The sequence below is a fragment of the Homo sapiens genome, chromosome 11 (assembly GCF_000001405.40).
Source record: "Homo sapiens chromosome 11, GRCh38.p14 Primary Assembly".
In the NCBI taxonomy this organism is placed as follows: Eukaryota; Metazoa; Chordata; class Mammalia; order Primates; family Hominidae; genus Homo; species Homo sapiens.
Window position 1 is genome coordinate 134,191,845 of NC_000011.10, and position 21,042 is coordinate 134,212,886.

General features: G+C 39.5%; 1 protein-coding gene across 5 annotated transcripts in view, besides 2 other annotated features; it reads right to left on the minus strand.

The window, feature by feature from the left end:
* The window catches only part of NCAPD3 (non-SMC condensin II complex subunit D3), a 75,349-nt gene that overhangs the window by 41,732 nt on the left and 12,575 nt on the right, over positions 1-21,042 (minus strand). For all 5 annotated transcript variants that reach the window (NM_001372070.1, NM_001372069.1, NM_001372065.1 and 2 more), the window contains 13 exons: positions 18,426-18,610; positions 17,469-17,633; positions 17,301-17,362; positions 17,020-17,107; positions 14,755-14,888; positions 13,055-13,127; positions 12,202-12,327; positions 11,810-12,062; positions 11,298-11,354; positions 10,972-11,061; positions 2,821-2,894; positions 2,172-2,306; positions 845-1,065 (listed from right to left, as the gene is read on the minus strand). In NM_001372070.1, the coding sequence (NP_001358999.1) occupies positions 845-1,065; positions 2,172-2,306; positions 2,821-2,894; positions 10,972-11,061; positions 11,298-11,354; positions 11,810-12,062; positions 12,202-12,327; positions 13,055-13,127; positions 14,755-14,888; positions 17,020-17,107; positions 17,301-17,362; positions 17,469-17,633; positions 18,426-18,578 (1,631 nt within the window). In that variant the 5' untranslated portion in view covers positions 18,579-18,610. The remainder of the gene's footprint in view (positions 1-844; positions 1,066-2,171; positions 2,307-2,820; positions 2,895-10,971; positions 11,062-11,297; positions 11,355-11,809; positions 12,063-12,201; positions 12,328-13,054; positions 13,128-14,754; positions 14,889-17,019; positions 17,108-17,300; positions 17,363-17,468; positions 17,634-18,425; positions 18,611-21,042) is intronic.
* Positions 6,246-6,446: a silencer, noted in NCBI's record as "peak1520 fragment used in MPRA reporter construct". NCBI's record gives its function as "represses an SCP1 promoter by STARR-seq MPRAs in K562 erythroleukemia cells {active_cell/tissue: K562}" and the evidence as "EXISTENCE:reporter gene assay evidence [ECO:0000049][PMID:32103011]".
* Positions 15,681-15,740: a silencer, noted in NCBI's record as "silent region_4093". NCBI's record gives its function as "represses an Ori minimal core promoter by ATAC-STARR-seq in GM12878 lymphoblastoid cells {active_cell/tissue: GM12878}" and the evidence as "EXISTENCE:reporter gene assay evidence [ECO:0000049][PMID:35858748]".

The window sequence follows — 21,042 nt, forward strand, 5'->3', positions numbered from 1 at the left end:
TATACACCTTGTATGCACAGCCGGAAGGTGATTTTATTTTTCGCCTGCGGATGCTGAACAGACTGTATGCTGTGAGCCTGCATTCTCACTGTGACCCGTCTCATGCGGTCAGGTGTGAGATTTTCCACTTGTGGCATCATGCTGACATTCAGAAAGTTTCAGCTTCCAGAGCATGTTTGGATTTTAGATTTTTGGATTACGGATGCTCAACCTGTACTGAGAAAACCATGAAGAGATCCTAGAGTACAACGGCTGCTCTTACAAATCAGGAAACTAAGGCTCAGAGAAAGTGATTTTTGCCAAGGCTGCAGAATGGTATTTTTTGATACTAAATCTATTTTCTTTCTACCGCATGATGATTCCTCCATCACAGATCCTAACTCCTAACTACAATATTCACTGTACAGTGTATGTTCAATAAGTGTTATCAAAGGGGAAAAAGCCTGCAGTGTTAGTTAAGTCAATTAATCCAATGAGGTGTTAAAAACAGTTTAACTTGCAGGAGCTAGGAAGTCATCCTTCGTGATAACCAGTATTGGGGAAAGGTGATATTAATATGTATCTCCATCAGTGTTGTCTACTACATATGAAGACACCAAAATCTGAAACTGGAAAGCGTCAGACAGATGCAAAGGAAGTGACCAAACAGGTGTCACAAACATACAGGCGATAAAAATATCTAAGAGATTGGAAGTCAGTCAGGGAAAGAGAGACCAATACTTAATCTTCACATACACTAAGTAATCTGGAAAGCTGATTTTTCGAGGACCAATAGGAGAAATTTATTAATACAAAGTCCTACGGCCTTCTTCTATAGGGAACACAGGTCATACAGTTAACCTACCTCAGTTCCTGGCTTTCGGTGGTGAGGAGAGTAAGAAGCGCCCAGGCGAGGACCTGGCTGTCGTCCCCAGAGTGAAAATGACTGTGATGCCGGATGTTCTGCAGCAGCAGCTGGTCCAGGAACTCCAGGGCCTTCTCCTGCACAGTGCTCTCGCAGTCCATCACCACCGGGACCACCCCCCGCAACCAGGCTTTCTGGATCTGCACGCATCTAGGCTGAGCCTTAGGAGTGAAAGATTATGACATGAGAAGGTCTAAATACAAGTCAGGGAAGTTGTGATCAACATTTTGAGATGTTAAAAATAATCACACCTTCAACTGCAAATAGACCATAGAGTGAAAAAAGAAAAAAATTCAAAAAATATACAAAAGCAAAGCCAGCTTAATGTAAATCACTGCAAACCAAAATTTTAAACTCATACATTAAAGTCACTATTTTACTAGTAGCTACTAGTAAATCAGTACTTTTTTGGTCATTAAAAATCAAGAGCAAATAATAAATATCCCAAAGAGCAATTAGAACAGATGCTGACAGAAAAAGTCAAAATATGCATTGCTTAATGCCTTCTATTATGAAATAAAGAAATAAACATACTTCTAAAATTCTTTGACTAAAATGCTAACTAGTAAACAAAAGTAAATTAAATATAGTACTTGTGAGTCTGCTTTTTTGGCAATATCATCTATCTATGCCCTAATTGACTAAATTTAATCTAGGCCTCTAGCTTAACCAAATCAATTTTAAATTTTATTTTTCTGTGTGAGATTTAAAGTGAAGAAAAGGGCCGGGTGCAGTCACTCATGCCTGTAATCCCAGCACTTTGGGAGGCCAAGGCAGGCGGGTCACCTGAGGTCAGGAGTTCAAGACCAGCCTGGCCAACATAGTGAAACCCTGTCTCTACTAAAAATACAAAAATTAGCCAGGCATGGCAGCACCTGCCTGTAGTCCCAGCTACACAGGAGGCTGAGGCAGGAGAGTTGCTTGAACCTGAGAGGCAGAAGTTGCAGTGAGCTGAGATTGTGCCACTGCACTCTAAGCCTGAGAAACAGAGCAGGACTCTGTCTCAAAAATAATAATAATAACAATAAAGTGAAGAAAGGGCTAACAATTGGCATTCTCTAGCATTAGTTCCTAATTATGTTTAATAGGAAGCACAGTCTATCACACATAATTCAAAAATACCTCCTCCCTTACATTGTACAGTTCTACAGTGGACTTAGTAGAGTTTTTAAAGGTCAACTTAACGTTTAGCAGCAGGTAATTATTGTGTGGAATTACTTTTAATGTAAAATACCATGCATTACATATATAATGTCCTGCCTCTCACCATAAGGAGTTCAGTAAGAGACTGGAGGGCCTGCTTCCGGACAGACACTGCAGGGTCCCGACACTGGTCCTGCAGAATCCACAGGTCTTCCTTCATGCCTGAGACATCACAGTGTTTCAAAATACTCACTAATACCTAGAAGGCATAGACGCAACATGAACTGTTAACTGCATAGCATCAACTCACAAAGATAAACTGTTAACAAAGGAACACTTCCTTTAAGTTTGTGGTTCTTAACATTTTGGGGTCATGGATCCAACCTTCCTCCTCACAACATCCCATTTTTCAGAATCCAATTTGCTAAGGCCTCTCTCAGAGAAAAACAAATTTTATATAAACAAATATTTACAAACTATTTTATGAACCTATTAAAATCCACCCATGGTCCCTAGGTTAAGAATCCCTATTCTAAACAAATTCAGGATATAAATTTGTGGTTCTTAAAAAAATCAGAAACCCTGTAGGAAAGCTTAAAAATAAAAAATCTTCCAGTTCGTCTATGATTCATATACAACAGGATCAGGGTCAACTAACAGTTAGGCGAAAAGCAAATTAAGTAATGAATATGGCCTAAGAGTTTAAAAAATATTCCTTTGCATTTCCAAGTTTTTAGTGCTTAAAAAAAAAAATGTGCAGAGAAAACTCCCACCTGCAGTGCAGACTTCCTAACGTTGGTCTTCTCATCCCTGATCCTCCTTCTCAGCATTGCCATGACACATCTTTCTGTAGAGGGAATACCAAAGGGTCATCACAGCTGGAGAAAAGTCACACAGCAGCTAACATTTCACCACACAATACCCAGAAAATACACTCATCTTAAAGACTCATTAGCTTGTTTTAAATCCTAAGAAATGAGAGTGTGGAAAAAGAAGAAAATGTGAATAATTAGGTATTCACTGTAATGCATATAAACTTTGGAATATTAAAAATTTGGTTTTAAATCTCAGCCCCTACCTCTAAAATTGTGAATGAATTATTTATCTCTTCCATTTTGTTTAGCTACAAATAGGAGTATCTAACCCATAGGATTATTTTAAAGATTTGATGAGGTAATATATAACAGCAGCTTTAAAATGTTTGACTTGAAGACATTTTTTTATAAGAGACAGGGGTCTCATTCTGTCACCCAGGGTGGTGTACAGTGGTACAATCATAGCTCACCGCAATCTCAAATTCCTGGGCTCAAGTAATCCTCTCTCCTCAGCCTCCCAAGTAGCTAGGAATACAGGCATGAGCCACCATGCTAATTTTTTTTTATTTTTCTGTAGAGACAGGACCTTGCTGTGTTGCTCAGGCTGGTCTCGAACTCCTAGCCTCAAGTGATCCTCCCAACTCAGCCTCCCAAAGCAGTGAAATTATAGGAGTGAGCTACCACGCCCAGCCTTGAGGCTTCTTTATATTCTTAAAAATTACTGAGGACCCTAAAGAGATTATATCTTTTAATACTTAGAATCAGAAATTTAAACTGAGAATTGTAAAAATATTTATTAATTCATTTTAAAAGAGCAAGATATGTTACTGTTAGTACTTTTTCATAAAAAATAACTATATTTTCCAAAACAAATAAACTAAAAATAGTGAAAAGGCTGGATGTGGTGGAATGTGCCTATAATCCCAGCTACTGGGGAGACTGAGATCAGAGGATCAACTGAGCCCAGGAGTTCGAGTCCAGCCTGGGCAACACACCAAGACCCGATTTTAAAAAAAAAGAATGGCATTGTTTTAGAGTTTTGCAAACTTTAAAATGTCTGGCTTAATATAAGCCAGCTTATCTCTCATCTGGCTTATATTAAACAGGATTCTCATCTCTGTTTCTACCTGCAATCTGTTGCAATTTGATAAGTCATGGGACCACTGGAAAACTCCAATATACATTCGTGAGGAAATCAGAGTGTGGAAGGCAAATGAACACTGCACTCATTTTTACTTCAAGGACCCCTGAGGGTTCCCAAAACACACTTTGGGAACTGCTTATATATAAGAAGGCAGCTTAAAAAATAAAAGATGGAAAACAATAGAGAAAAATCAATGAAACTAAAAGTAGGTTCCTTGATAAGATCAACAAAACTAATACACCTTTAGCTAGACTGGCGAAGAAAATAAGAAAGAAAATTGAAATTGCTAAAATCAAGAAAGGAGGGACATTACTACTATTAGCCTTACATAAATAAAAAGGATTACAAAGGAATACTATGAACAATTTTATGCCAACAAATTAAGTAGCCTACATAAAAGAAACAAATTTTTAGAACGACAAGTTTTAGAAAGACACAAACTACAGAAACTGACTCAAACAGAAATAGAAAATCTGAATATACCTGTAACGAGTAAAGAAACTAAATTAGTGGCCAGGCGCGGTGGCTCACGCCTGTAATGCCAGCTCTTTGGGAGGCCGAGGTGGGTGGATCACCTGAGGTCAGGAGTTCAAGACCAGCCTGACCAACATGGTGAAACCCTATCTCTACAAAAAATACAAAAAAATTTGCCGGGTGTGGGGGCGGGTGCTTGTAGTCCCAGATACTCAGGAGGCTGAGGCAGGAGATTTGCTTGAGCTGGGAGGCAGAGGTTGCAGTGAGCCAAGACTGTGCCATTGCACTCCAGCCTGGACAACAACAGCGAAACTCCATCTCAAAAAAAAAAAAAAAAAGAAAAGAAAAGAAAGAAAAAGAAACTAAATTAGTAATCAAAAATACTTTACACACACACATACACACACACCCCTTCCTAAGGACCAGACACTTAGTGGAGAATTCTAACAAATGTTAAAGCAAAAATGAACAACAATCCTTCATGAACTCTTTCAAAAAATAGAAAAGAATACACTTTCCAGCTCATCTTAGGTGAGTACTACCCTGATAGCAAAACCAAAACATCTCAAGAAAACAACGGATATAGTTTGAGTATTTGTCCCCACCCAAACCTCATGTTGAACTGTAACACCCAGTGCTGGAGGCGGGGCCTGGTAGGGGTGTTTGGATCACTGTGGCAGATCCCTCGCAGCTTGGTGCTGTCTTCAGGACAGCAATACTGAGTGAGTTCTTGTGAGATCTGGTCATTTAAAAGTGTGTGGCACCTTCCCCCTGACTCTTTCTCCTGCTCCCACCATGTGAAACGCCTGTTCCCTTTTGGCTTTCTGCTATGATTCTAAGCTTCCTAAAGCCTCCCCAGAAACAGATGCCAGTGCTATACTTTCTGTACAGCCTGCAGAACCATGAACCAATTAAATCTCTTTTCTGATAAATTACCCAGTCTCACATCTTTTTTTTTTTTTTTTTTTTTGAGACAGAGTCTCACTCTGCTGCCCAGGATGGAGTGCAGTCGCATGATATTGGCTCACTGCAACCTCTACCTCCCAGGTTCAAGTGATTCTCCTGCCTCAGCCTCCTAAGTAGCTGAGATTACAGGCACCTGCCACCATGCCCAGCTAATTTTTGTATTTTTGGTAGAGATGGGGTTTCACCATGTTGGCCAGACTGGTCTCGAACTCCTGACCTCAAGTAATCCATCCGCCTTGGCCTCCCAAAGTGCTGGGATTACAAGCATGAGCCACCACGCCTGGCCACGTATTTCTTTATAGCAATGCAAGAATGGCTTAATACAACAGACCAATATTCCTTATGAATATGACACCAAAATTCTCAACAAAATACCAGCAAACCAAATCCAGCAAGATACAACCATGCTTGGGATTTATCCCAGGAATGAAATGTCAACCTGTGAAAAATCAATCAATGTAAATTACAGCATGGTAACAGAACAAAGAAAACCACACAATCATCTCAAAATAGATGCAGAGAAAGCATTTGCAAATTCCAACACCTTTCCATGATAAAAACTCAGCAAGCTTGAAATGGAAGGAAACTTCCTCATATTGATGAAAGTCATACTAAAAACCTCACAGCTAACGTCGTACTCAGCGGTGAAGACCAAAAGCTTTCCCCCTAAGTAAAGAAAAAAGACAAAGAAGTCTACTCTTTGACTTCTTTTCAACATCATTCCACAGACTGTAAACCAAAAATAAAATTCTAAGGCTCTCCAACCATCTGAATGGACTTCCTCCTCAGCCAGGGCACTCTAAAATTTAACCTGAAGACTGGTTCAGACCATGACGGGATGTGGGGGTCAGACATGCCTCATTATACCCTCCAGCATTAACATCAACACAGTCTTTAAGTCTGATAAGAAACGTTTACAATCTATTCTCTCTGAAGCCTACTATCTGAAGGCTTCCTCTGCAGTAATGAACTTTAGTCTCCACCACCCTTTATCTTAACCCAGACATTCCTTCCTATTGAACCCAGTTCTTTAGACAAACTCAGCCAATTTTCAACAAGAAAAATTTAAAATCTACCTATAAGCTGGAACCCTCCCCACCTTGTCCCTGCCTTTTGGGACCAAACCAATGTATCTATTAAACGTATCTGATTGATGTCTGATGCCTCCCTAAAGTGTATAAAACCAAGCTGCACCCAACCACCTTGGGCACATGTTCTCAGGACCTCCTGAGGGCTGTGTCACGGGCCATGGTCACTCACATTTGGCTCAGAATAAATGTCTTCAAATATTTTACAGAGCTTGACTCTTTCTGTCAACAAATAGGTAAGAAAAAGAAATGAAAGATATCCAGATTGGAGAGGAAGAAGTAGAACTACCTCTATTTACAGATGACTTGTTCTTATATCAAGAAAATCCTAAGGAATCCACAAAACAATCATTAGAGCTCGTAATGAGTTTGGCAAGGTTGCAGGACAGAAGATCAATTATCAAAAATAATTTGTAAAAACTAGCAATGAACAATTCAGAAATGAAATTAAGAGAGCAATTTAATTTGCAATACTATTGAAAAGAATAAAAACACTCAGGACAAAATTTAAAGAGCAACAATGGTTCACTGAAAACTACAAAACATCACTGATACAAATTAAAGACCGAAAGAAATAAAAAGACATCTGGTGTTCATGGATTAGAGGAATTAACAAACGAACATGGCAACACTCCCCAAACTGATGTACAGATCAATCCCTATCAAAATCCAAGATGGCTTTTTTTTTCTTGCAGAAATTGGCAATTAATCTTAAAATTCATATGGAAATACAAGGGACCCAGAATAGCCAAACTAATTTTAAAAAAGAACAAAGGGACAGGAGGAGAACTCATACTTCCTGATTTAAAATTGACTATCACAGGATACTATGTTAACACCAAAATATGACTCTGACATAAAAATTATTTCTGGGAAGACAGTTAAAGCAGACAATTAACAAGCAGCAGCAAACAGAGAAAAAGCTCTGTCTATCCTTTCCCTTTTCTTTATTTATATGGGCAGTATATAAATTCTCCTTTACACACGGGGTCTCTGGACCCTTATCAGCCCAGAGCAATTCACAAAACTCACTCCATTGTTTTCCTCCCACATACAGGCAGTCCCTGACTTAGGATTTTCTGATTTTGCAATAATGTGACAGCAATGCACATTCAAACCATACTTTGAGTTTTGAATTCTGCTCACTTCCTAGCTAGTGACATGCAGAATGATACACTCTCACGATGCTGGGCAGCAAGAGTAGCTCCCCGTCAGCCACCCCATCAAAAGGGGACAACAGAGAGTCTCCAGTGTACTGTACTGCCAGCATTTTTTGGATATGGTGTTTTGTGTTACGTAAGTGGAGTTCTAAGCCCTCAGTTACTTTGCATTGAGATCTCTCCCGCATAACACGCACTAGACATGTTAATAAACTTGTTTGTCTTGTTATGGGGATCCATCCCGAGGAAGAACTCATGAGGACTGAAGAAAAAATTATTTCCCCTCTCCTACGCTAGAACGCAACGGCAATCAACACAATGTGGTACATAAAGACAGATATATAGATTAATGAAATAAAATTCCATTAATATAGAATATAGAGCACACAAATAAGCTCATGAGCTTATACAAGTCAGTCAAGTGATTTTTTTACAAGGGTGCCAAGACACTCACAGGTGAAGGAACAGGCTGAAAGAAACAGTGCTATGTCAACTGGATAGTCACATGCAAAGGAGTGAAGGTGGACCCCCTATATCACACCATATTCAAAAATTAACTGAAAATTGATCAAAGACCTAAATGTGAGAGCTAAAACTATAAAACCCTTAGAAGAAAACACAGGAGTAAATCTTTGTGACTTTGGATTACACAACGATTTCTTAGCTATGTGATACCAAAAGCATGAGTAAAAAAAGAAAAAGATAAATTGGACTTCATCAAAATTAAAATGTTTTGTGCCTCATAGAATACCATTTGAAAAGACAACCCACAGACTGGGACAAGTCTTTAAAAATCATATATCTGATAAGGTATATATATAAAAATAACTCTTTCAACTCAAAAATAAAAGATAACCCAATTAAAAAATGGGCAAAGAGCTTGAATAGACATTTCTCCAAAGAAAACGTATGTATATGGCCAATAAGCCTATGAAAATTTACTCAACATCATTAGCCATTAGGGAAATGTAAATCAAAACCACAAGCAGATACCACCTCATACCCACAAAGATGGCTAAAATAAAAAAGACAGACATGGCAAGTGTTGGTAGGAATGCAGAGAAATAGGATTATCATACGTTGCTAGCAGGATTGTAAAATGGTGTGGCCACTTTGAAAAAGTGTGGTGGTTCCTCAAAATGTTGAATATAGAGTTACCATACGACCCAGCAGTTCTCCTCCTAGGTATACACTCAGAGGGAATGAAACCACACATCTATACAAAAACTCATACAAGAATACTTACAGCAGCATTAGTCACAATAGCCAAAAAGTGAAAACAACCCAAATGTTCATCAACTGATGAATGCATAAACAAAATGTGGTGTATCCTTATAACTGACTATTACTCAGCACAAAAAGGAATGAAGTACTGATAGATGCTATAACATGAATGAGCCTTGAAAACACGCTATAGGTGAAAGAAGTCAGACACAAAAGACAACACAGTACATGACTGCATTTATGCGGAATGTCCAGAATAGGCAATTTTTTTTTTTTTTTTTTGGACAGAGTCTCGCTCTGTCAACAGGCTGGAGTGCGGTGGCGCAATCTCGGCTCACTGCAACCTCCACCTCCTGGGTTCAAGCGATTCTCCTGCCTCTGCCTCCTCATAGCTGGGACTACAGGTGTGTGCCACCACGCCCAGCTAATTTTTTGTATTTTAGTAGAGACGGGGTTTCACCATGTTGGCCAGGATGGTCTCGATCTCCTGACCTCGTGATCCTCCTCCCGTCTCGGCCTCCCAATGTGCCAGGATTACCGGTGTGAGCCACCACGCCTGGCCCAGAATAGGCAATTTTATAAGGAAAGAAAATTACTGGTTGCCAGTGTTAGGAGGAAAGGGGCATGGGGAGTGACTGCTAATGGCTATGGGGTTTATTTTTCAGCTGATGGAATGTTCTGGAATTAGTCTGTACAATCTTGTGACTATACTAAAACAACTACATTATACACTTTCCATGGTGAACTTTATGGTGTGTGAACTCTGCCTTAATAAGAAAAAGCAAAGAGAGCAAAGTGCATCTAAGTGACTATACAAAATTTTTAATGTACAATTAATGCCAACAATATATGTCCTTTCAGCTTATGAACAATGCACTGGAAACATGGGCTCTTTGCGTCCCCGAACTTTCATAATTTTTAAGCATCATTAAATCACCTCAACTTGATATTGCTTGAAAAAGTCTGTGCCACCGTAAATCCGTAACCTGTTTAGACGAAGTCTGGAGCCAACACAAACATTCAGCATTTTTCCAGAGTACATTTTCCTACCACATTTAGAAAACCTGTTTATTATAAATGTAGTTATCGCTCTGAATTGGAGTAATACATGCTAATATCTAGCCTCCTGAACCCAATTTCACGCTGACCTTCTAGGCTGAATAATAAAAGCAGTAATGTAATCATCCTCAGGGCGCTTTCTGTGCATCTCGGCACCTATCTCAGTGTTCCGCATACATGTGTGCACAATTGTATATATGAGAACACTTGTGTGCACAAGCACCTGTCTCTCCACTGATCCTTAAGAGATGGAGCTCTGTCTCACAGACTTGTGCATCTCCAATGCCTGGAACGCATCGGGAAGGACCAGATCAAGGTTTATTGAATAAATTAATAAACCCAATTATGTAATTAATCCTCTACGTACATGCTCTTTCTCTCTCTTATCTGTGTCTCTCTCTCTTTAAATCACTTTCTTAAATGTTGTTTCTACAGACTTTCCCAACAGTCGTCTGGGAAAGATGGGAGGGTGTTACAACCGGAAAACGACAGGTATACCCCTAGATCATGCAGCTATTTAGTAACTAAGCTGGTACAAAAAAGCAGACTGCCCTGCAGTGTTATTTTCATTTTTTAATTTTTTAAACAGACTGTCGCCCAGGCTGGAGTACAGTGGTATGATCAGAGCTCACTGTAGCCTGGAACTCCTGGGCTCAAGCCATCCTCCCACCTCAGCCTCCTGAGTAGCTGGGACCACAGGGGCACACCACCACGCCCAGCTGATTTTTATATATATTTTTTAAGAGATGGGGTCTTGATGTGTTGCCCAGGCTGGTCTTGAACTCCTGGGCTCAAGTGATCTGCAGGCCTCAGCCTCCCAAAGTGCTGGGATTATGGGATTACAGGCATGAGTCACCACGCCCAGCCAGCTGTTTCAACTCTTAGGGGTGAATAAATCAGAAAAAAAAAAAAAAATCCAAGGTTTTAGACTCTACTTACGGTTGTCTGAAATCCAGCAGTATTACCTATCTGACAGTGATAAAATCTGACATACCTCCAGATCCAACTGTTTCACCACTGCTGTCTATGTTGATCTCCCCTGAGGGTTCGGAACGGTTAGATGTCTGCCTTTGGTAGGAAAAAGCTTTAAAAAAAAAATTACAGTCATTAAGCTAAAAATGTGTTATACTTTTAATAACATTAGCAGGGCATGTTACTCATTTAAGTTACAACATTATTACTGAAATGAATTTCAACCTCTCTCATGAAAAAAGTACAATGTTAAAGCAGGTAAATAAGGAGGTAAGAAAAACATTTTAAATATTCCACAAATTTTTAAAAGATAATCATTCAATATTTGAAAATGTATTGATCCATTACCTGATGAATTTCTCAGTAAGGTACCAGGGTGACTCTCTATTACAGAAAACGTAGGACCTAAAAACAAGAAGAAAGATAAGAAGGAAGAAGTCAGTATCATAAACTGAGTAATTATCCACGGAGGAATCAAAATCAAGATAATTAGGCTCAAAGACAAGGCAGACAGATTCTAAATTGCTGACAACTGATAACGTTCTCCTTGGGTATGCATTGAAACGGAGATTCATCCTAATACGACCAATGCCCACCAATGCAAAGCAACAGTAAAGGTAGCCACCAATGTCACCTCTCAGATATGAACATCTGAAATACTTTTAAAAGGCCTTGCAAATGTATCAGGCTTGCCTATTTAAAAAGTTATTTGGCAAGAAAATATACTAAAAATGGTTTTGAGAGTAAAAATAGATCATGCCATACCTATTACTTTTGCCACAGAAAAGAACGATTCCCTTGCAGTCTATTTCTCAATGAGCACAAGACCGGTTTACTGTCCCAATAGTCGCCATACTCACTGTTAATCAGGAGCTCCAGGATACTCTCCGACGCACTGGTAACAGTCAACTCCAGACAGTGTGCAAAGCTGGACAGTGCCTTGCTGCGGACAGTAGGCGCCTTGTCTAAGCAACGATCAAACATAATTTCCTGCACCAGGAACTTATGCTTTAAGAACTTCTGATGCTCCAAGGAGAGGGTGTTATCCACCTCTCTTTCAGGCAGTTCTAACAGAGCTAAGACAACATCAAGAGTAAAAACCCGGTGTGGGATCTGGTAAAGCAAGATCATAAGAATTGCCATCAGATAGGAGTAAGAACCAAAGAACCCTCCTCATTCAGACCTAGAAAAAGAGACCCTTTTAAAAAGAGTTTAAAAAGGACCCAAGGTTTTATGCAGAGCTATCTCCTACCTTGGAACTTCGGGAGTATTTGTAAAGCCAGGCAATGAACATAGCGTATTCCCCACAAGGAAGTTTACTGAGCAGCTGGACTAGGGACTGGGCTGCAAAAGTACGATACTCTGATTTATCTACCACCTGAAAAGCAAAAAGAGAAGTTGACCAACCAATATCCACCCGCAGGATGGCTGAAACATATTCTGTAATATAAGTTGAAAGTCAGTGAGTACAACTAGTTCAATGACCTTTAAATGTTACGTAAATGACTAATAAATTTTAGGTTTTAGAACACTTCAAAACTAATCTAAAGGAAATCTATAAACCATCTCTCCAGAAAAATGCACATACAAATTTAGTATACAATTTCAGAGAGTTTTTAGATCCCCAGGTTTCATAAGGTTCAAATTAAGAATCATTTGTCTAAATGGTTATAAAAATGTAGAGATCATCATGGAAATTTGAACACTGGATGTTTGATAATATTAAGGAATTACCGTGAAAGGATATGATGGAATTTGCTTCAAAACACAATCCAGTATACACATGTTGGGGGATGTGGGGTAGGGGTTTAAGTGACACAAAACTGTGGAACTCGGTGATGGGTATGTGGTGGTTCACCAGCCTATTTTCCCTGTTTCTGTGTGTATGTTCAACATTTTTCCAAAACAAAGTTTTTTTGTTTTTTTGTTTTTTATAGAACACTTTTGTCTAGGGGACCATCTAGTGAACATTAAATAAAACCACTTTAAGTAACAATGCACACTCATTCCCAAGAACAAATACCCACACTCACACACACACACACACATTTATCTTCACACACGATATACTTCCATGTTATTAATATTACTAAGGCAAACAGTACCTTGGCACAGATGTGCTGCAGTAAGATACGGACGACTGGGAATATACTCTCCTTTAATTCATCCACAAGGGCGCTTTGTAAAAGAAAAACACATCTACTGTTCACAATACAGTCAGCGACTGTCCCCAAAAACCACTACTCCTATATTTAGAAATCCTAGTTATTAAAACACTCTACCTCACGCTATAAGAGTGGTTTCAGTAGAATGAAGAGTGAAGACATAAAATGTCATCGTAGAAAACTGTGAAGTAGTTCCCGTGCAGTTTTGAGAGCTGCTGCAGAGTAGCTAAGTCATCAGGTAAGAACAAAAATGTAATCTTCATACAATTCTTTTGACTACTTACTAAATTTCATATGAAGATGTAAAATATATCCTTTGGGGATAAATATAAAAATTGACTAAGACACAGTACCACCTCATGGTAGCTCAGTGAAATGCATTAGTAACATTACTTCTCCAAACTTTAACCCAATAAGAAATTTCTTTTTTTTTTTTTTGTAGATGGAGTTTTGCTCTTGTCGCTCAGGCTGGAGCGCAATGGTGTGATCTCGGCTCACTGCAACTTCCCCCACCGGGTTCAAGAGTTTCTCCTGCCTCAGCCTCCCGAGTAGCTGGGATTACAGGTGCCCGCCACCACGCCTAGTTTCTGTATTTTTTAGTAGAGACAGGGTTTCACCATGTTGGCCAGGCTCGTCTTCAACTCCTGACCTCAGGTGATCCGCCCGCCTCGGCCTCCCAAAGTGCTGGGATTACAGGCATGTGCCACCGCGCCCCGCCTCAAGAAGAAATTTCTACAATGCCCAGACTTGATCCATTTTTAGTGATGTTTATCTGTAACATTACATGAAGACTATTGCGACTGGCATATGAGAAACTCTCATGGAAAAAACGAAACGATCGTGTTTTCACTTAAAACATTTTAGTTACTTAATGTTTTAAAAAGTCCTTAGTGAGAGACATTTGCTCAGTCACAAGATGACGTCATACACACCCCATGTCTCCAACTACCCTGCACACTGTGCACACCCAAGGCATGCACACACTTGCACATGCACACCATGTCTCGGCACCACCTCCACACTGCACGCCAAAAATCAGTGAAGGAGGGAAGGAAAAGCCAACAACGCAGCAAACATGTCCTTGCCAGTGAAACTAAGGCATGAGAGTTTTTAAGTGAAGCTGAGTGACCCATGAGAGGAAAAGTAGTCTAACACTTATTGCTACGGAGGTAAAAAGCAACTCAATCCTTTCCTTCAAGTCATTTCTACAGAGGGAAAGGAATAGAAAAGTGCAAAGAAACAAGAAGAAAGTGGCAAAGAACAAAAGCAAAGAGCTGCAAAGTAGAGAGCAACAGAAAAGGGAAAGAGGTGAACTGGCTGCAATGAAGCAGACAAGGGAAAGGAGGAGAGGCCACCATCCTCTCTCTGAGGCTGACCCACATATTGAGCGCAAACAAGCTGGAGGCTGGCGCTGGCCCGTGTTCTGCAGATTCCTATCTCTTTAACAGTGCCCCAGCTGGGAGCCTACCAACAGAGACCCAGACACATAAAGCACATTAGCTACGAAGTGCTTGGTTTTCACCCCCAAAACCACCATCAGGCCAGAAATTTTAAGTCTACATGTATCAGAAATCTTAGTGCAGGGCCCAGAGTACTGAGGGAGACTGACAGGGTGAAAATTCACGATTTGTGTGCTTCACCTGATAAACTGGACCGCCTGGTTTCTACAGTTGATGACTTGGGAGGTAACAGCAAGGGGGGCACGATGGGATCCTTCACCAACTTCTAACATTAATATTACACTGAGCATTTGATGGAAAACACAACTGATGACCTAGAAGAGAAAAGAAAATTCAATTTAAGATCGGATGGAGAACACAAGGGTCTCAGACATAGTGATGCAGACTGTAGTAAACCATTTCAAGCCATCTGAAGGTAGGTCAGGCTGGCATAATTGCTGGCTGAACACTAGGGATATATTTCTTAAACAATGAGCAGGGATACAATAAATGCACAATGTAAACAGTGTGAAAGAATGGCTGACAGATGATATGTCTGATAAAAACAATACCTAGTTTCTCTCCCCACCCTTTGCATATCATAACCCAGAATTTAGGACAAATAGGGAATTAACTGTCATTTACATAGGGCAAAGAATGCTACTAATGTTCCCTTATTCAAAAGGGGAAAGAACGATACTTTACACCTGCTTTTTGCCTCCAGTTTACAAAGCACTTTCCAACATATTATCTCATATAACATAGTCACTAATTAATTTATTCATCCAATAAATAAAACATTTACTGAAAACCAAGTAAGTGGTAGGTATTGCATTAAGCACTTTCATCTACATAGCTAGATTTTACTATATATATATAAAATATACATTTAATTTTAAACCTTACAACAATTCCATAATGTAAGCAGGACATGTATAATTTCCACTTCACAGATAATTAAAAAAAGCTCCAAAGGTGAGCTGTCCAAGATCAAATAATTAAAAATAAGGCTAAAAACCAACATTGCCTGACATCAAGTCAGTACTTTCACAATTAAAAAAAAATACCGACTGGGCGCAGTGGCTCACGCCTGTAATTCCAGCACTTTGGGAAACCAAGGAGGGTGGATCACGAGGTCAAGAGATCAAGACCATCCTGGCCAACATGGTGAAACCCCATCTCTAAAAATACAAAAATTAGCTGGGCATGGTGGCGCGCACCTGTAGTCCCAGCCACTAGGGGGTGCTGAGGCAGGAGAATCACTTGAACCTGGGAGGCTGAGGTTGCAGTGAGCCGAGATCATGCCACTGCACTCCAGCCTGGTGTCAGAGCGAGACTGCGTCTCAAAAAAAAAAAAAAAAAAAAAAAAACCATCTTTAGAGACACAGTAGACCTAAAGGGATGAATTTTCCCACCTATGTTATTGTTTAAAATATTTAAAAGGGCATGCGAATTAAAAACATTACTGTAAATGTTATCACATTCATATTTCAAGCACACAGAAGTGATAAAGATACTAAACTTATAAAATACCGAATGTTTCTAAACAACAGGCATTGTGCTCGGTAGGCGGCCTGCTCAACTTCATTTAATCCTGTGACAAATCGATAAAGAAGGTAGACTTTGGTCCTTTTTGTCCATAAGTGAAATCTAACGCTTTAGCCAGGGTGAATGGCTCATTCAAGGACCCACAGCTAGTAAGTGGTGAAGTCAGAAAGCAAACACAGATGTGCGGAACCCCCCAAGCATCCCCAAAAATATCTTCGTAACCAGGTTACTGCCTCTGCAAGGTAACGCGTCGCAGATACCAAAAGCCACATGACCTTGGTCCAACACATTTTTTTGCAAAATCTTATTGTTTCATTTAAGACATCTAAGTTTAGTAACAGCATCATGCGCAACTAACTCTAACTGCAAAGTTTCTAGTAGTAGTGGCGTTCAGGTAACCTGGAGGCAAAACCCAGGTATCCATGCTGACCACGGGTGACAACCTACAAAATTTCCATAGCATATCAACACAAATAATACAACTACCAATAGAAATACTGAAGCGCACATGAATTGCCAAGGGAAACTTGAAAATTCTCTGACTATTCTACTTTTTAGAATGATTTGGGAAATATTCCTATAGAAGTAAGTGTTCAGCAGCTCATCTGTTCCTATAGAAGTAACTGTTCAGCAGTTTATCTGTTCCTCCTATTTCATTCACAGCAGAACCATTTTTTCTAACTGGAGCCTAACAATAATTTGCTGCAGCCACCAAGTATTCAGATATAAAGTTGGCAATAAAGAACAGAGAGCAAATAGAAATAGTGATACTTTTTATTATGCAAATAATATAAGGTCATGAAAATGAGCTAGTAAATTGAAATGGCATTATATCAAATGCTTTTAACATATTTCCATCATATGGTTCATGTGCCTTCGATTCAACTAGTAACCAAATTAGGTTCTCATCTCCTTTACCTTATCTCCTTCTCCATGAATGGGAGAGCACAGCAAATACAATCCATAATAAGCCAGTTCTGGTATGTATTTTGCTTGGTTAAGAGCTCTAAAAAAAAAAGACGAAATATTAGTTAATGGATATGATTTTACTTGGAATATTTCTTAGTCCTACAAGCCATGTTTAAATGAATAAATTCTACCTGTGTGCCAATTGGGATAAAATGGTATTTCCATTTCTGCTGGAGCAAAAATTGGTACACTATACTTAAATTGTAGCACTGGAAGATTTAATGGCTCACCTGGCTTGTGTAACATGACATTCATGAAGAACTGGCTCAAAATTAGTTAATGAAACAAAGACCTAGAAAACAGATATGAAGAAAAGGCCTGATTTTTTCTACTGATCAGGTATTAGCCATAGTCTAATCCTTTGAAGTTGCCCTAAGGTTCCTGGAATTTTCACTTACCTCTATACAATTCTGTACACATTGTGGCTTTTCTTTCAAGGAAAACTTTGGCAGAAGCCTTAAAAAATTCTTTAAAAGGTGAAAGATGGCATTTCGAATTTGAGAAAGGTCCCGGGCAGAAAAACAAATATTCTCATCTTCTTGTTCTTCTATAATTTCATCCATCTAGATTATGAAGAAATGTACAGGTGACTGTAATAAATGCCAAACACTTTGTCCCATGGTTTTCAATTTACCCAAACCAAGCCCAGATAAACTCCAGGCAGGAGCTGATGTTGAGGTGATATGACTTTGACCAGGTCGCATGACTGTTCTAGGTCTCCTTGGCCACAACAGTAAATCACTGGACTAGATGACCGCTACAGTAGTTTCTAGTTTTGTGTCAATGAGGAATCCTTTTTTTCAGAATTTTTGCTGTCTATGAAATTCTGTCATTCTACCGTGTCACATAAGAATATGGAATTAGGCTGGGTGTTGTGGCTCATGCCTGTAACCCCAGCGGGAGGCCAAGGTGAGTGGATCACCTGAGGCCAGGAGTTCGAGACCAGCCTGGCCAACATGGTGAAACCCCATCTCTACAAAAAAATGCAAAAATTGGCTGAGTGTGGTGGCGCATGCCTGTAGCCCCAGCTACTCGGAAGGCTGCAGCAGGAGAATCACTTGAACCCATGAGGTGGAGGTTGCAGTGAGCTGAGACTGCACCACTGCACTCCAACCTGGGCGACACAGCAAGACTCTGTCTCAAAAAGAAAAAGAAAAAGAAAAAAGGAAGAAAGTAAGAAAGAAAGAAAAATTATATGAAGCCGAAGACACAAAGCAGTATTGGATAGCTTATGATGGTTTAGGACCATTTGCCTATAATCATGATGCCTGAAACCATGTTTAGTATAAAGTCAATCCTTAAATAAAGCAAATCGTGTGTTGGTATATATGTTTTATACTCAACTTACTTCTTACCTCAATATCTTCTCTCCTGGGTGGCTTTCCCCTTTTTCTATGCCTCCCGGGGTTAGCCTGAGAGCTCTTAGGCTGTTCTTTCTTTCTTTTCCGATTCAAGTTAGATTCCTGGGGCCAGCTCTTCTTTAGAGTCTGAATGCATTTGTCAAACATCACTGGGTGGAATACTTGATTGGCTACACTGCCTATTCATGAGGAATAAAGAGTAAGCAAGTTAGATTTAATTGTCTTGAAATATATCTATAACATCAGATGAAAAGTTACAAAGCAAAACACAGGCTTTTCATGACTGTGAATAACAATGAACCTGTAGCAAGAGTACCATTTGCAACGTCAGCCTTAGTAGAGGAGACAGCGCTGCATCAGAGGTAAGTAACAAGATTTCCAAATCTGGCCAGGACAGAGGAACTGGCTTTACACTTGTTAACGACTAGAAAACTGGGCAAAAATTTATAAAGTAACAATTTAAGACACTGGGCACCAGGCAGCATAAGAAGGGCAATCCCTGAAAAAAGGGAAACAGAGGTAAACCCTCAAGTTGCCCCAGTATTGTATCCAGAGGGAATTTCTGGACAACGGCAGAGAAATGGTAAATCCACACAAATTATAATGGTCTTACTATGTTGAAAAAGCAGAGTCAGAAAGACAGGGTAGATGGAATTTATAGAACAGAAGAACCTACACAGAAAAAGAGTTCTAGAAATCGGCCCAGGGCTGAACATAAGCTACACATGCACAGGGTAAAATTCTAAGACAGAGAGCAAAGAAGTATTTCCAAGGAGCAAGAAGATGAATTATTTTCACAACTCACACAAGGCTCAGATACATTTGAGTTGTGGCCAGCCAGAGTGGAGTGATCTTGTTAAACACCTAGAGCATTCAGTAGAGACCTCAGAACAAACACACCTTAACAGTAGGGCTAAACCCGATATAGCATAAAGGCTACTTTACATCAGCTCTAATAAAGCTTTAAAACAAGCCTCAAAAGGATCAAGTTAATCCACCAATAGCTGCCTATCAAAACATACTTCAATAGTATTTAAAGGAAAACAACAAAATCCAGACACTCAACAACATTCCAAATGCCCAACATCCTGGCTAAGGGCAGTGGCTCATGCCTGTAATTCCAACACTTTGGGAGGCTGAGGTGGGCAGATCACTTGAGTCCAGGAGTTTGAGACCAGTCTGAGCAACACAGCAAAACCCTGTCTTTACAAAAAATACAGGGGGAAAAAAAACAACACAAAATGTCCAGCATCCAGTAAAAAAATTACAGGGAGTGCTAAAAAGCAGGAAAATGTGCCCCATAAGAAAAATCAGTCAATAAAAACAGCCCAGGAAATGACAGAGATAATGGAACCAGCTGACAACAACCTTAAAGCAGCTCAAGAATTAAAAGTAAAACATTATCATGAGGAGAGAAATGAAAAAAAAAAATTTTAAAGAAGCAAACAGAACTTCCTTGATCTGAAAAAGAAACATTCACTAGATGGGCTTAATAGTGGCTTGGTTATTACTGAAACAAAGATAAGTGAACTTGAAGATACAGCAGGAGCGTAGAAACCAAAAAGCTAATAAAGACTCAGTGACCCATGGGAGAACATCGTGCAGTCTAACACAGGAGTGACTGAAGTCCCAAAAAAGGGGAAGGAAGACAACATTTGGAGAAAAAGTCACTAAAAAATTTCCAAGTTTGTTGAAACTATAAGTCCACAGATCCAAGAAGCTCAATGAACCCAATCGCAATAAGCACAGAGGCAATCACAACAAAGCATAGATAATCCCACCAAAAAGCAAAAAAAAGTTAACTCAGAATTTTATATTCAGCAAAAAGATTCTTGAAGGTGAAATAAAGATATTTCACACAATCAAAACCTGAGAGGGTTTATGGCTTGCAGACCTGCACTAAATGTTTAAAAATAAAAAGTTCTTCAGGCAGAAGGAAAATTATAGGAGATTAATCTTTCAAATATAAAAGCTGTTTATCTTGTTTCTAAAAAATTCTATAAAAGATAAATAAGCATTAATGAAATGTAGGCTTTATAACATGTAGAAAAAATAACACACAAGAGGAGAGGAGAAAGGAAAATATACTTTTTGTTGTTTTGTGTGTGTGTGTGTGTGTGTGTGTGTGTGTGTGTTCCACTGGAGTCTGGATCTGTTGCCCAGGCTGAAGTACAGTGGCGTGGATCTCGGCTCACTGCAACCTCTACCTCCTGGGTTCAAGTGGTTCTCCTGCCTCAGCCTCCTGAGTAGCATGCGTTACCACATTGGGCTAATTTTCATTTTTTGTTTTCTTTTTTGGTAGAGATGGGTTTCACCATGTTGGCCAGGCTGGTCTAGAACTCCTGACGTCAAGTGACCTGCCGGCAGCAGCCTCCCAAAGTGCTGGGATTACAGGCATGAGCCACCTCACCCAACCTAGGAAAATACACTGTTTTAAGGTTGTTCTTACATCATATATAAATTGGGAGAATATTATCTGAAGATAAACTGTGAGAAGTGCCTACTGCATACACAAAGCAAGCACATAAAACATACACATACATGCAAAAGAGTATAGCTAATACACCAAAAGAGACAAGGGATACTAAAATCCAAAACAAGGCAGGAAGAG